This window comes from Homo sapiens, chromosome 4 (genome assembly GCF_000001405.40).
Source record: "Homo sapiens chromosome 4, GRCh38.p14 Primary Assembly".
Classification (NCBI taxonomy): domain Eukaryota; kingdom Metazoa; phylum Chordata; class Mammalia; order Primates; family Hominidae; genus Homo; species Homo sapiens.
In genome coordinates this window covers 156134436-156150220 of record NC_000004.12, presented here as the reverse complement: position 1 = coordinate 156150220, position 15785 = coordinate 156134436, and the positions used below count along the sequence as shown (strand labels likewise).

Here is a 15785-nt window from a genome sequence, read left to right as displayed (position 1 = left end):
CACCGCTCTCGGCCTTTGCCTGGCAACTTTTAATTGGATATCTAACACTGTAAACTTTGTTTGTCAGTTGCTATATGTTTTGTATTTCTACAAATAGCCCTATGCTTTATTCTGGAATGCATTTATGTGGCTTAGAAAAGGTTTGATTCTTTCAAAGGTTACTTTTTTTTTCTTTCTATTATTATTATTATACTTTAAGTTTTAGGGTACATGTGCACAACATGCAGGTTTGTTACATATGTATACGTGTGCCATGTTGGTGTGCTGCACCCATTAACTCGTCATTTAGCATTAGGTATATCTCCTAATGCTATCCCTCCCCCCTCCCCCCACCCCTATCGCAAGGACAAAAAATCAAAGGTTGCTTTTAAAATTGTTAGCAAGAACAGGAGCATCTTTTGGCCTATGGCTAATTTTTCCCTACTACTGCAGGAAATCAATTTTGGCTATTCTACCAAATGCGCCATGAATTATGTAGTTTTCCGACTTAGCGAGTTGGAACACAAACTATTCCTACCATCATATGATCTCCATGGATGGTTAATTTTTTTTTTTTTTTTTTTTGCCTCTAGCCTTGGGTAGTTTTCTCACACATTTATGAGCTGATCTGTACTCAAGTGAAGACTCAAGGGAGATACTTGCAGATCTCCATACCCTTTCTCTATGAAGCGCTCTGTCTGTGTCTGGGACTTTGGCATGTAACCTCTAGCTGCCTTGGCTGTAGACTTCTAGCTCTGTCTTCTCAACTCAAGGAACCTGAAGGTTATTCCTGGATTCCCCTTCTCTATGCTCTGACTTAGAAATCTTCCAAGTAGTAAGCTGAGCAAATTGTAGGAATTATGTCATTTGTCCCCCATCTCTCAGGAATCACTGTCCTGTGCAACCTAGTGTCTAATTTCTGTTTTATAGCATTTCATATGAGAATATAAATATGATTTGTTGCTCCATCTTGGCTGAAAAAATAAATTTTATAATCTAATGTAAAGCCTTTTGCCTTTCAGGCATTACAGAAAGAAATGTAATAAAATTGAACCCAGTGCTACTTAGGAAAAAATTAGGATGATGATAAAATTACAATAAACTTATCAATAGACAATTGTTCTTTCCTATGATAGCAGGTTATAACCAGGAATGAAGCCTCAGATGCATATCTTAGGCTTCAAGAAATAACACTGAACTAGTGTTATTTTTCCCATGTATAAAAAAATATAATAGGATACAGATCAAAATTGTTCACCTCAGCTCAAATTGGCTTATAAACCCAAATTTTCTGGAGACAACATCAGTACTGATGGCATGCGCACACACACACACACACCATTTCATGAGTTTCCATCAATCCACATCACTTATTCACGTTACTTGCCAGTAATCGATACTGTTCCTGTGTGAATGCATATAATATTCACAAAATACAATTTTGATAATGTCTTACAGGCATGTGTGTATATACACAAACACACACACACATAAACATTGTGGTTGGAAATGTAAAAATATTTAAGTCATAAAGGGTAACTATGTGAGGTGCTAAAGCAAACTAAATATGGCCTGAGAGGGACTCCGTACTTCAATATTTTAGTCCTTGTAGATGAACTGTAACCTAGCTTAATAGTCAGACAAGATTGTAAACCTAATTCAGGAGTATGCGCCTGTAACTATAACTAAGTCTTGGCCAATCCAAGAAGCCATACTTCAACCACTCATAGACTGCTAAGAGTTCAAACTGTTCAAATAAGGCAAACAACAACCTGTAACCAATCCAGCTGTTTTTGTACCTCACTGCCAATTTACATACGTCATTTTTCTTCTTTTGTCTGTAAATCCTCTTTCACCACATGGCTGTTCTGGATTCTCTGTGAATCTGCTGTGATTCTGGGGGCTGTCTGATTCGCAAATTGTTCATTGCTCAATTAAACTCCTTTAAATCTAATTCAGTTGAAGTTTTTCTTTTATCGGAGACAACAGTTGTGTTAACTAACTTGATTGTGGGAGTCATTTCACAAAATATATGCAAATCGAATCATCACATTGTACACCGTAAACACACAATTTTATCAGTTATACATCAATACAGTTGAAAATGTTAAATATATATAAATACATAAATTTTAAATATATATCCTGTGTGCCTATGAGTCTCAAACTACTACAAAAATAATTGATAATTGCAAAAGAAAATGCTAAGTGTATACGATATGTACTATATATACTAATATATGTAGTATTTATACTTAGCATTTCTTTTGCAAATATCAACCATTTTTATAGTACTTTGAATCTGTCTTTTTCCACAGAAGAGTGTTTATAGAAAAGTGACTAAGAAAGATAGTCCCAACTTTAGAAGCAGAAGTACTGTTAAATAATAATGATGATAATATAGCCCTACTGACTTCCAATTTTTCTTCAAGGGAGATTGATTTGAACTTCATGAGAGTATAACATTATTAATGGTAATTTAAATTCCATTAAGCAGTAGAGTATCTGGATACTTTCAATATAGTCAAATGAATTCAATATGATCTTCTTAATTACAATCTGGAGTATGGAAACACAGTAAATTTGGATCATAGGACCACTGTAGACAATGTTTGAGAAGTTTTAGTGACACACAAAAAAATGCTGAAAATTTGGAAAAAAGAAAATATTCTCTAGTATTTAAAATGTGAAAAAGATAATTCCCTATGTATACTTCAATGTAAGTCAGTGACTTTGCTTTTAATACCTGAAGAAAAAAAAAAAACATTAAAAATGGACTTTGACAGAAATACTTTTTCAGCGCGTAGCATAGTAATCACTCTAACAACAATCACTCTGGTTTAGTATTGGAACATGAAAAATCAAAAACGAGTCATTAAAAACCATACTATTTTCCTTTTTGAGAAACTCGATTAGGTTAGACATTTTGAAAAGGTAAGTAACACAGGGTTTCTGATTTTCAATAAGACATTTAATAAATTTTAAAGTCATTCTGTGTGTGTGTTCGTGTGGAAAAGAGGTAGATGTGAACTAATGATAGATTGGGTAGATCTAAAACTTTTGAGCAGTTCTGGCCCCTAAAATTGACATGCTTAATGTGGAAAGAAGTTCAGACTCTGTTATTTATCTTTTCCTATTTAATGACATATAAGCATCCTAAATAAGGCAAAACTTGTAGCTTTTAGCTTTATGTAATAGAATTTACACTAACCGTGCCTTGGTTCAATAGATGATCATTTTTCTCCTAGCTCAATTATGTCTTTTTCCTTCAACAGTCTCAATACCGGTAAATGGACATCTTTGTGGTTATTAAAGGTCCACAAGCCTTCACACAGTAGTGTTTTATGCTGGAATAAAGGAATGTGGCCAAAGGGCTTTCTGTTTTCCATACCATTCATTATCAGAAAAGAAAAACTTGCACAGAAGCACCCAGAAAACTTCTTATGTCTCATTGGCCAGAAGAGAATCATACGCCTCTCCTAGACCATGCAATGCCAAATTAGGACTTTGATTTGGTTTGTTTAGACAATTATGATTTATATCTCAGGCCTGGGCATGTGGCCAACTAAAAGAAAACAAAATTAAGTTCTTCTAGGGTGAAGAAAAGAGATACTGGGTGTTTTATAAGCAAGCAACAATATCTGTCATAATTAAACACATACTAATGATAGAATAGTTGGAGGGATAGTTACCATTTTGGATATTTAAATCAAGATTTAAAAAGCTCTCAAAAGCCTTAAATAATTGATTAAAATTTAAGAAAAATAAACTACATAAATAATTGTAGAATATTTTACATTTCACCATTTACATTCAACTACATTGAGAGTCAGTTTGCTTAAGACTACTTGAAATGAGAAGACACATGTGATTTTGTTTGACTAACACATTCACTGAAATTAATTGTTAACATTAAATTGAAACCTGCTACAATGTAAGATTGTATTTATATTGCCTGAACTCTACACTAGGCTAAATTGTAGCTAGAATATTGTTTCCCATCTTGGGATACATTATAAAGAGGCTATTTATAAACTGAAGCACAAACAGAAGAACATCCATGAAAACTAAAGAAGAAGAAAATATTCTAAAAGCTGAAGGCATTTAAAGAGAAGAGAGAAGACGCAACATTTTGTGACAACTATCTCCAAATTTAGAAAGACTTTCCTATGGAAGAAGAATTAGGATTTTTTTTTTTTATTCCTCCTGCATGGCTAACATTTACTGAGCTCTTTCTCTGTTAGGGCTCCATAAAAACTTGGTGCATTTCATAGAGTTTGATTATTAAATTGTGAATTTATTCCCTTCATTACACTGATTAAGAGAACAGTATTCATTAATTGGATTTTTTCACTGATTATTCTTTCACACTGAAAAGTGTGATGCACACTGTTCACAGTTTAGAACATAGTATGAGCTCAGTCGATGTTAAGCACTATCTTTATCAAATAGTACAAATGGGAAAAGTTACCCATAGAGAAATTTTTGACTTAATTTTTGAAGAAGATTTGGACAAAGTGCATTGTTGAAGATTGCACTTGGTTGCCTGACAAGACAGTAAGTAGCCTGTTTATCACAAGCAAAACTGAAAAAACACTAAGTTATTTATTCATTCATTTATTTAACAAATGTTACCCAACTACCTACGCATCAGGCTCTGTTCTATATATTGATGTTATAGCCATGAAGAAGAAAAAACAAATTTCTGCCCCTCTTAAAGCATATACCATAGTGAAGAGGAAAGACACAAATGAAATAAAATGTGTTGTATAGTGTTAGTGCTATAAATATGAATAAAGAAGAGGAATAGATAATTCCAGGGGTGCTATTAGGTAGGGACAGGAATCCAAACATTCTCCTATGAGCCAAAGGGAAAAATAAGAAAAAGAAATGAAAACAAAACACAAGATAATATGAACAGAAAACTGAATAGTATGAGCATAAGTCATGTACAAAGCGGATTCTATGGTTTGAATGTCCCCTGCAAACTTCGTGTTCATATTTAATTGCCAACATAACAGGATTAAGAAGTGAGGCCTTTAAAGAGGGCTCTATGCCTTTAGGAAAGAGCTTTCAGGAGCGGGTTTGCTTTTGAGCACTCTTGCCCTCCCTTGTTCTTCCTCCTTCCCCCATGGGATTACACTGTACAAAGACCCTTACAGGATGCCAGAGCCAAGCTCTGAAACTTCCCAGCCTCTAGAACTGTGAGCCAAATAAATTTCTGATCATTATACATTACCCAGTCCATGGTATTCTGTCATAGCAACATAACATAGAATAAGACAGTGGGGAAAAAGCATTCCAAACTAGAGGCCTTGAGGAGTGTGCTTAATATGTTCAAAAACCAGCAAAATGAGCGAGGCGAAGCACAGTAGGAAAGGAAGTCAGCAAGGCAGCCTGAGTCTAGACTATGAAAGTCTTTGAAGTCCTTATTAAGGGTATAGATGTTTCTTTATTTAGCTAATGGATTATCTCTCAGTGAAAAAAATCCAATTCATGAGTACTGTTCCCTTAATCACTTCTGCAAAGGGAATGAATTCATTAACTAGCTGGATAACTAACCATATAATCATTCAATTCTTTCTATTCCCTGATAATCTATATCTTACTTGACACTTATAGAGTCCAAATATGCAATCTCGTTTATCATCTGAAGATTCTCATTAAATCTGCAATTTATTTCCGTAGTCAGTGCTATAATATGAGTGCTTATATCCTCCTAAAATTCATATGTTGAAAGGTAATCACTAATGTGAAGGTAATAGAAGGTGGAGCTTTTGGGAGGTGATTAGTCATGAGGGCAGAGCCCTCATGAACAGAATTTGTGCCCTTATAAAAGTGACCCCAGAGAACTACCTTGCCTCTTGCCACTTGTGAAGACACATTACGAAGAAAGCCTCTATGAATCATAAAACAAACCCTCACCAGATATCCAACCTCTCAGTCCTTTATCTTGGACTTTCTAGCTTCTAGCATCATGAGAAATAAATTATTGGTTATTTATAAGCTATGTAGTTTGTGGTATTTTGTTATCATAGCCTCAATGGACCAAGACAGTCAATCTCACCACGTTTATCACAGGGTATATGGTTCAGTACCTATAATTTCTTATTTTTAAGTCAAGGGACTTTAGACAGACTTATGATTAACAAAGCATGCAGTTTCAATAACTAACATCTATGGATTCATTTTAACCAAAAAGAAAACAAAGATTAGGTTTAGATCTACATTTTTTAAATATATCCCTTCACTTCCTCTGCTGCTTTTGTTGCTAAGTCCCCCTGGCAACATGATGCACTGTGAAGGTCAGGATGAACATTGCCGTAAACAGAACAAGGACAGGAAAGTTAACAGAGAGAAGATTCTGTAGCTGCAAAAATACCTCTAGGTGTTCCGGACACTATGTGCCTATAGCTGGCTACAGGATCACAGCAGCCAAAAGCCCTCCAGGAAGAAGTATGGAAGCAGCTTTATTGAGGTTGCCAGCAAGGTAAAAACAAAATTCTTCTCTTAGAAAAATTATCACTGTAATCCATTTCATTGAAAATGCCAAATGTTTAGAATTAGGAAGTCTAGCCATTATAGAGAAATGGTGTGCACTCAGGTCCAGGGATGGAAGTTGATGCCAATGAGATGCATTAAGCAACGTTTAGATGCATGGTAATCGTGGATTGGATGTCTGCTCCAAAAGTGTTCGCTAGATGATCTCAGAAAATTAATTGGGTTAAATATTCCTGGAGGTTGATCTAGAGCACTAGTTCTCAAACTTTAGTATGTATCAGAATCACCTAGGAAACTTGTTAAACACGGATTGCTGGGCCCTCTTCCTACAGTTTCTTATTATTAGGTAAGGGCTGGACTGGATAATTTGCATTTCTAACAAATTCCCAGGGATTGAAATGTTACTGAATCAGGAACTACTACTTGGAAGCACTAATCTAGGGACAATTAATTGAGAAATGGAAAATTTGCCCTAAATAAAATATATGTGCCCACTCAACTGTTTTATGTAGTAGAGATTAGAAGACTGAATATTATAATTACTTGCTTTAGATCTAAGATTTTTCAATGGAAACTTTAGTCTGACTTTTTAAAATGATATTATTGTGATGGCTAACATTTATAGAGACTTGAATTTACCAAGAAATTTATAGGTAACAGAATTATTTAGTACTTACAACGGCCTTAAAAGGCAGGCTTTACTGTCCCGTTTAATAGATGAAAAAAGAGTTTATGTCAGGTTGTAAGATTACAAAGCTACTGAATTGCAAGGACAATATTAGAATCTGAATTCTTATTTTTCTTACATGAGTGTTTTTCAGAATTTAATGTGCATATGAGTCATCCAAGAATCTTGTTAAAGTGCAGACTCTGTTGATCATACAATCAATATGTAATGGCAAAAAGTCATCAATATTATGATAATATTTAAAATGAATTAATATTATACTAATCACAGTATTACTCGTATAATTTAAAATGGCAGTACATAAGGTGTGCAAATATTTATGCCACCAAAATAAATTGTGTATAACTCATGTGAATTGAGTATTTGAAAAAACTAAATCTATCAGACAAAAAAATAGAAAACATAATTTGTCTTTTTTGGTTAATAGAAATGTATATTCTGTTTTTAGTTAAGGCTAAAGAATTCAGCCCTTAAGTCTCAATATGCAATCAAAATAGGAATGGGGCCAGGAGTAGTGGCTCATGCCTGTGATCACATAACTTTGGGAGGCCAAGGTGGGAGGATTGCTTGAGGCCAGGAGTTTGAGACCAGCCTGGGCAACATAGCAATGCCCTGTCTCTACAAAAATAAAAATAAGTGTGACATGGTGGTGGGTGCCTGTAGTCCCAGCTACTTGGGAGGCTGAAGCAGGAGGATTGCTTAAGCCCAGAAGTTTTAGGCTAGAATGAGCTATGATCATGCCACTGCACTCCAGCCTGGGTAACAGAGCAAGACCCTATCTCTAAAAGTATAAAAATAAAAAATAAAAATAGGAATGGTATAGGTTTTTAAAGCTAGTATCAGCAAGCAGTCCACATTACTCTAAGAACATTATGCTTAAGTTTGAGTTCCTTCTAGTCAGGGGATTTTTTTTAGTTTTTTTCTTTATGAATTTACTTGAAGGCCATATTATAGTCAGTTTTTTAAATGCATCTTTAAAATACATTTTATTTAACTCTTATGTTTATTAACTAAATATAAACTATATTTATTTTCAAGCATGTTATTTTTATTTTAAACCATAATATAGCTCTCCAAATACTATCTCAAAATATATAAACTGAGTTTCTTTTAAATACCCTAGGAAATACCCAAAACTTTAAAATCAAAAGACTACCACACAAGAGCATTGCTGCCTAGAAATAGCCAGCTCCCCAAAATGATTGTTTAAACTTTAAAAACTCCTTTTTTCCTGACATCTGCATTAATTAATCAGTTGCATAAAATCCCTGATATATATGTACTCAATATTTACATGAGAATCATATTTTTATGTTCTAAAATTAAACGTGGACATTTTTAGAGGTTATTTACAAGATGCCCAAGTGGATGCATCTGCCATAGATAATCATCTGCATTGTCAGAAAAATGCAATTCGTCATTTTTCCAGCTGAAACCTATGTTTTCATGATTCTCAGGATCTCAAGTGGTACTAGAACTTTATCTTTTTGCCTCTTAATTTTCTGTCTTTGTTTATATTTCTTAGCCACGGCTGTTGCTCTGTCTGTGCATTATTTAACTAATGGTTTGAGTTCTCTCTCCCCAGCCAGAAGCAAAAACTGGTAGAGCATTAGCCACCATTGCATAGTTCAGGGAACACCCTGTGTGTATATGTGAGTGGGTTTATATGTCTGTAATTAAGAATGTCCACCAGGATGCTAGAAATCTATCCTATCAGGTCAGAGACAACATAAAATCTGGTTTGTTAGCCTTCTTTTGTTTGTTCATTTTGCTATGTGTGAGTTCAAATCAACTGCAAAATTTTCTTTTGAACAATCAAAAGTAGAATAGACTTTTGAAACGTGGATTTGTGCTTCATTGTTATCCTTCACCAGGAGCTGAGCCTGCTGAATTGAAGCAGAAAGTGATGTGTCTGCAACTGAGAAAAGCCTTTTCCTCTCTTTGTGTGAATTTAAAATATTTTCTTTCCTCTGGGGGATATTATTACACTAGATAATAAAAACTCTCAAATTAATCACATATATTATACATCTAACATTCTCAGAAAATAATGAAACCAAACTTTTAATACTTTAAATCTGCTAGCCATTTGAGAAAAAACAATCCTCATGAAACCACTATCTAGAAACATTTTCACTTAAAAATTCAAATTCATAAACTTAAGGTGAATCTTTGAACAAAATAGACTGGCATAATAATTTTGATTTAAAAAGTGAATAAAGAGCTGTATATAATTTTCGTGACTTTATTAGTATTAGTTTGTGCTATAAAACAGGCATACCTTTTATTTTTTAATAGGGTTTGTGTTTTTTATTTTTTGAAGAGGCCAATTAATCAGACTGCTTAAGTTTCTTTTTAATTTTTAGATAGGAAGATTTTTTTTTTTGTTTTTAACTTTTATTTATGTTCAGGGGTAAAATCGTAGGTTTGCTATACAGGTAAACTGTATGTCTAGGGGGTCTGGTGTACTGATTATTTCCTTACTCAGGTAATAAGCATAGTACCCAATAGGTACTATGGGTACTAAGGGAGATCCTCCCACTTCTCCCACCCTCCACTTTCAAGTAATCCTCAGTGTTTGTTGTTCCCCTCTTTGTGTCCATGTGTTCTTATTGTTTAGCTCCCACATATAAGTGAGAACATGTGATATTTGGTTTTCTGTTTCTGTGTTAGTTTGCTTAGGATAATGGCCTCTAGCTCCATCCATGTTGCTCCAAAGGACATGACCTCATTCTTTTTTATGTCTGTGTAGTATTCCACGCTGTGTATGTCCTGCGTTTTATTTATCCACTCTACCATTGATGGACATTTAGGTTGATTCCATGTCTTTGCTATTGCGAATAGTGCTGTGATGAACACATGGGTGCATGTGTCTTTATGGTAGAATGATTTATATTCCTTTGGTTACATACCCAATAATTAGATTCTTAGGACAAATGGTAATTCTGTTTAAACTGAGCTGCTTGAATTTCTGACACTGGTTTATTGATCAGAATACATCATTATTTCTACAAACTTTAGGATTGTGAAAATGTAACACTAGGGCTTAATCCAATTGAAAGATAATTCTTCATTCTTTTTATTAGCAATAATATCTTTCTACAGTGTGTCACTCAGGTTTGAGATAGAAGAACAAATAATAGAGGCATTTAAAAGACCCAATCTTAATTTCCAAAATGAAATTTCCACACAAATGTTAATTTTTTAGCTTCAGTATTTGTTCTGTGCTCCAAACTCAGGGAGTCTTGTATAATTAATTCACCATGTTTTCTGCACATGTGTAAAATGTCAGGCCAAACATAATGGAGCCAGACTCTTTTGAAATCAAGAAAAATTTTTAGAGGTTGTTTATTATCAAAATAGAGGAACTGTTAAGAAAACATATCCAAAACTTCTAAATAAAAAGAGCACAGTGTATCATTTCCAAATCTCAGGACTATTTAGAGTAATTTACCTGTGAATGTCATTCATATGTTTTTTTTAATTCAGGCCTAGACACTGTGAAGTTGTATGTTAATTTGTGTATTTCTGTTCATTGGAAAAATACCTTAAAAGTAATGGTTTCATTATTACCCTGTAGAACACTAAAGTTTTAAAAAAAATCTAACCTAGAGATCATAGTCTAATGCTTGTTTTTCTCAAATGCCTATACTCAATGGTTTTTTAACCAGCGTTAGCATCTTACTGTTTATTTGTTCATGAGTTCTATTTTATTTGACACATCTTCATTTTATATCTGTATGACAGCTATGTTTTGAATTACTGAAAATTTTATTTGACAATTAATACTCTGGTACTCACGCATCATAACCACCTCACAGAAAACTCTTGCTTAACTGTGCGTTTCGACTATAGCCCCGTTGTTCTCTATTACTCAAGACCCATATTGTGCTCAATTGAGCTCAGGAACGATGGAAATATCATCATTCTAAATTCCACTTCTGCCAGCTTTGATGACCAAAGAAAATTTATAAGTATTTCTTTTCAACTAATGGGTCAAATGGCATGCCCTGACTTGACATGATATAACCAAAGACAGAAGCTAATGCAACAAGCTATGAAACTTTGTTAAAACTGACACGTGAGCTTAAGAGCTTATTTTTGTCACAGAATGACTTATTTCTCTTAATCCTTTTCTTCATTTTGAAGGATTACGGCTTCTTTGACGCATGAACGTTTTGGAATTTATGAGGATTTTAATGAGGATTTTCTGAAAAAAATAAAAATGTAAGTAGAAAACTATGAGTGTGTATATTCTTGAATTGTTAAAGATGTAAACCAAATATTTACATTCATTGCTTTGGGGGGAGTATAATTAGTTAATCTGGAGTGTTAGCTACCTTGCTATTGCTATTTTTATCCAATACTCTTTTAAAAAATGTGGAAGCCTCATATGAATGAATTATGCTTTTTAGAAATATTCAAATTCCAACAAAGGAAAATTAATGTGCATAGAATTTCCATAGATTTTTACTTTTTCCACCTGACAATGTGATGATGGAAATAATTGAGATGGTGATGGTCTGTCCCTCTGGAAATAATTGAGATGGTGATGGTCTGTCCCTCTCAGCTCATTATTCTCGAATTATTTCCTACAGTATTTAATGTTTCCTTCCCACGGATTTCCATAGCAACCATATAGAAGCAGTGTTTCATAATTAACTGCTTAATACCCATTCAGTGCAAAATGATGCCCAGGAGTGGGAGTTCCCTTCTTGGCTGAACTACTGGCAGTGAGGCCTTTCATTAAAGCTGGGACTGGATACCTCCAGACTAGCAAAGCGCCAATGTAGTCAGTGTTCTCTCAGGAAAAAAGAACTGCAGCAGCAGCTCCCAAAAGCTATAAACCCGTGGAGCGGGTCCCCACTGTGCGTGTGTGCTCAGTGCTACTTGTTTGCATTGTGCTCAGTTCACCCAGCTGCTGGTGTTGGTTTTCTCATTATTTTAAACTGTATAGCCCAAAATAGCTTCTGGCATGCTGTCTTCAGCACAGAAACTCATAAAACCTCGGCAAGAGGAGTATTGGCTTTATTATCCTTCTCTGTATGACTGAAGCTTTCAAAAAGAAAAAAGAAGAGCCTGGGGTACAAACCTGTGACAAGGCCTGTGAGTTGAAGATTTTTAAAATGAGGCCACATGCCTATTGTTAATCCTCACTCAGGGAACATGCTTTCAGCTTACTTATCATCCAGCACTGGAAGCTGCTGATCCGCAGCAGGATTTAGGTAGAGGAAAACAGGCCAAGACCTGGAAATGAAGACATCTGGATTCTTATCCCCAACACTGTCATTAGCTACTGTGTGTGACTTCCTCCAGGTAGCCTCTTTGGATCTTCATTTAATCATCCGTTGGGGGAAAAAAAAGGAAAAGAAGGATTTGTCTAGAGAAATGCCTGTACACCCTTTAAACAGTGCTTATCACATAATACAGGTATAATCAATGCTAATTACATGCTTCTTAAGACCCTTCTTGATCTAAAATTCATTTTTCTCATAATCTCTGAGGAAATGTAAGGTGCTCTCAATATAGTTAAGGATCCAAGAATAATACACATGTGATGATTTTGAAAATAAGACAAGACTATACATTTCTGTGCTAAATTGAGAAATACACTAAAAAAAAAAAAAGAAGAGAAAGAAAGCTGCTCTCACCACCCCACATTTGCCTTAAAATATCTCTGTCTGTTCATTCCTTCTCTATTCCTTCGCTCCTGCTGAAGAAAATGGGATCTTTCTACTTACCAAAGATATTCATTTAACCTGAATCTCCAAATCCCATTTCCTTCTACCTTCCTTCAGAATACTGTTCCAAAATAAGCACCCTGTTTTCTTTGTACTTCAACTCTCCTTTTCTCCTTGTTCCTTCCTTGTGAATTAGAAACAATCTCAAGTCTCTCCTTCTCACTATCTTGATTAAATTGTACTACCACTAAACCTGCTGACATTTCCAAAAAACACACTTGCTTGTTTATTTCCTTTTTGTTTTTAAGGATCTCAAGTGCTCAGAATTGAAGTTCTAGTGTAGATTTTTTTTTCTTTTTTTAACTTTTATTTTAGGTTCAGGAATACATGTATAGGTTTGTTACACAGGTAAACTCATGGGGGTTGTTGTACAGATTATTTAGTCACCCACGTACTAATCCTAGTACCTAACAGTTGTTTTTTTCTCTTCCTCTCCCTCCTCCCACCCTCCATCTTCAAGTAGGCCCCAGTATCTGTTGTTCCTCTCTGTGTCCATGTGTTCTCATCATTTGGCTCCCACTTAGAAGTGAGAACACACGGTATTTGTTTTTCTGTTCTTGCATTAGTTTGTTTAGGATAATGGCCTCCAGCTCCATCCATGTTCCAGCAAAGGACATTAACTTATTCTTTTAATGGCTGCATAGTATTCCATGGTGTTTATGTACCACATTTTCTTTATCCAGTCTACCATCAATGGGCATTTAAGTTGATTCTATGACTTTGATATTGTGAACAGTGCTACAATGAACATACACAAGCATGTGTATTTATGGTAGAATAATTTATATCACTTTGGGTATACACCAAGTAATGGGATTGCTGGGTTGAATGATAGTTCTGTTTTTAGCTCTTTGAGGAACTGCCTCACTGCTTTCCACAGTGGTTGAACTAACTTACACTTCCACCAACCATATGTAAGTGTTCCTCTTCTTCACAACCTTACAAGCATCTGTTATTTTTTGACTTTTTAGTAATAGCCACTCTGGTTTGAGATGGTATCTCATGTTGGTTTTGATTTGCATTTCTCTATTGATCTGTGATATGGAGTTTTTTTCCATATCCTTGTTGGCTACATGTACATCTTCTTTTTAAGAGTGTCCATTCATGCCCTTTATCCACTTTTTAATGGGTTTTTTTCTTATAAATTTGTTTAAGTTCTTTATAGAGGCTAGATATTAGACTTTTGTCTACATAATTTGCAAAATTTTTCTCCCATTCTGTAGGTTGTCGTTTACTCTGTTGATAGTTTATTTTGCTCTGTAGAAGCTCTTTAGTTTAATTAGACACCATTTGTCAATTTTTGCTTTTGATGCAATTACTTTGGGCATTTTCATAATGAAATATTTGCCAGTTCCTATCTTCAGAATGGTATTACCTAGGTTGTCTTCCAGGGTTTTTATAATTTTGGTTTTTACATTTAAGTCTTTAATCCATCTTGAGTTGATTTTTATATATGGTGTAAGCAAGGGATCCAGTTTCAATCTTCTGCATATGGCTAGCCAGTTATCCCAGCACCATTAATTAAATAGGAGTCCTTTCCCCATTGCTTGGTTTTTTCAGCTTTGTCAAAGGTCAGATGGTTGTAGGTGTGTGGCATTATTTCTGGGCTCTCTGTTCTGTTCCACTGGTCTATGTGTATGTTTTTGTACCAGTACCATGCTGTTTTGGTTACTGTAGCCCTGTAGAATAGTTTGAAGTCAGGTAACATAATGCCTCCAGCTTTGTTCATTTTGCTCAGGATTGCCTTGGCTATTTGGGCTCTTTTTTGGTTCCATATAAATTTTAAAATAGATTTTTTTTTCTAATTTTGTGAAGAATGTCATTGGTAGTTTGATAGGAATAGCAGTGAATCTCTAAATTGCATTGGGCACTATGGCCATTTTAAAGATATTGATTCTTCCTATCATGTACATGGAATATTTTTCCATTTGTTTGTGTCATCTCTGACTTCTTTAAGCAGTGTATTTTAATTCTCATTGTAGAGATCTTTCACCCGATTCGTTGTATTCCTAGATATTTTTTTTGTGTGTGTGTGTGGTAGCTGTGAATGGGATTGTGTTCCTGATTTGGCTCTCAGCTTGGCTGTTGTTGGGGTATAAGAATGCTGATTTTTCTATGGTGATTTTGTATCCTATAACTTTGCTAAAGTTGTTTATCAGTTTAAGGAGCTTTTGAGCCACGACTATGGGGTTTTCTAGATATAGAATCATGTCATCTGCAAACAGGGATAGTTTGACTTCTCTCTCTATTTGGATGCCCTTTATTTCTTCTGTTTGCCTGATTACTCCAGCCAGAACTTCCAAAACTATATTGAATAGGAGTGATGAGAGAGGGCATCCTTGTCTTGTGCCAGTTTTTAAAGGAAATGCTTCCAGCTTTTGCCCATTCAGTTGATGCCGACTGTAGGTTTGTCTTAAATAGCTCTTATTATTTCAAGGCACGTCCCTTCAATGCCTAGTTTATTGAGTTTTTTTTTTTTTAACATAAAGAGGTGTGGAATTTTATTGAAAGTCGTTTCTGCATCTATGGGGATGATTGTGTGGTTTTTGTCTTTAGTTCTGTTTATGTGATGAATCACATTTATTGATTTGCTTATTTTGAACCAACCTTATAACCCAGAAATAAAGCCTACTTGATCGTGGTGGATAAGTTTTCTGATTTGCTGCTGAATTTGGTTTGCCAGTATTTTGTTGAAGATTTTTACATTAATGTTCATAAAGGCCTGAAATTTTCTTTGTTGTGTCTCTGCCAGGTTTTGGTATCAGGATGAGGCTAGTCTCATAGAATAAGTTGGGGAGAAGTCCCTCCTCCTCAATTTTTGGGAATAGTTTCAAAAGGAATGGTACTTTGTAGTAGGCTCTTCTTTGTATATCTGG

The 15785-nt window shown here is 34.8% G+C and overlaps 1 long non-coding RNA gene across 6 annotated transcripts in view; it reads left to right on the top strand.

The window, feature by feature from the left end:
• The first annotated feature begins 6346 nt into the window (after window positions 1–6346).
• The window catches only part of LOC102724785 (uncharacterized), a 31284-nt gene continuing 21845 nt past the window's right edge, over window positions 6347–15785 (top strand). For all 6 annotated transcript variants that reach the window (XR_427618.3, XR_939394.2, XR_001741525.1 and 3 more), the window contains exons 1-2: window positions 6347–6469; window positions 11318–11395. This is a non-coding gene — a long non-coding RNA (uncharacterized LOC102724785). The remainder of the gene's footprint in view (window positions 6470–11317; window positions 11396–15785) is intronic.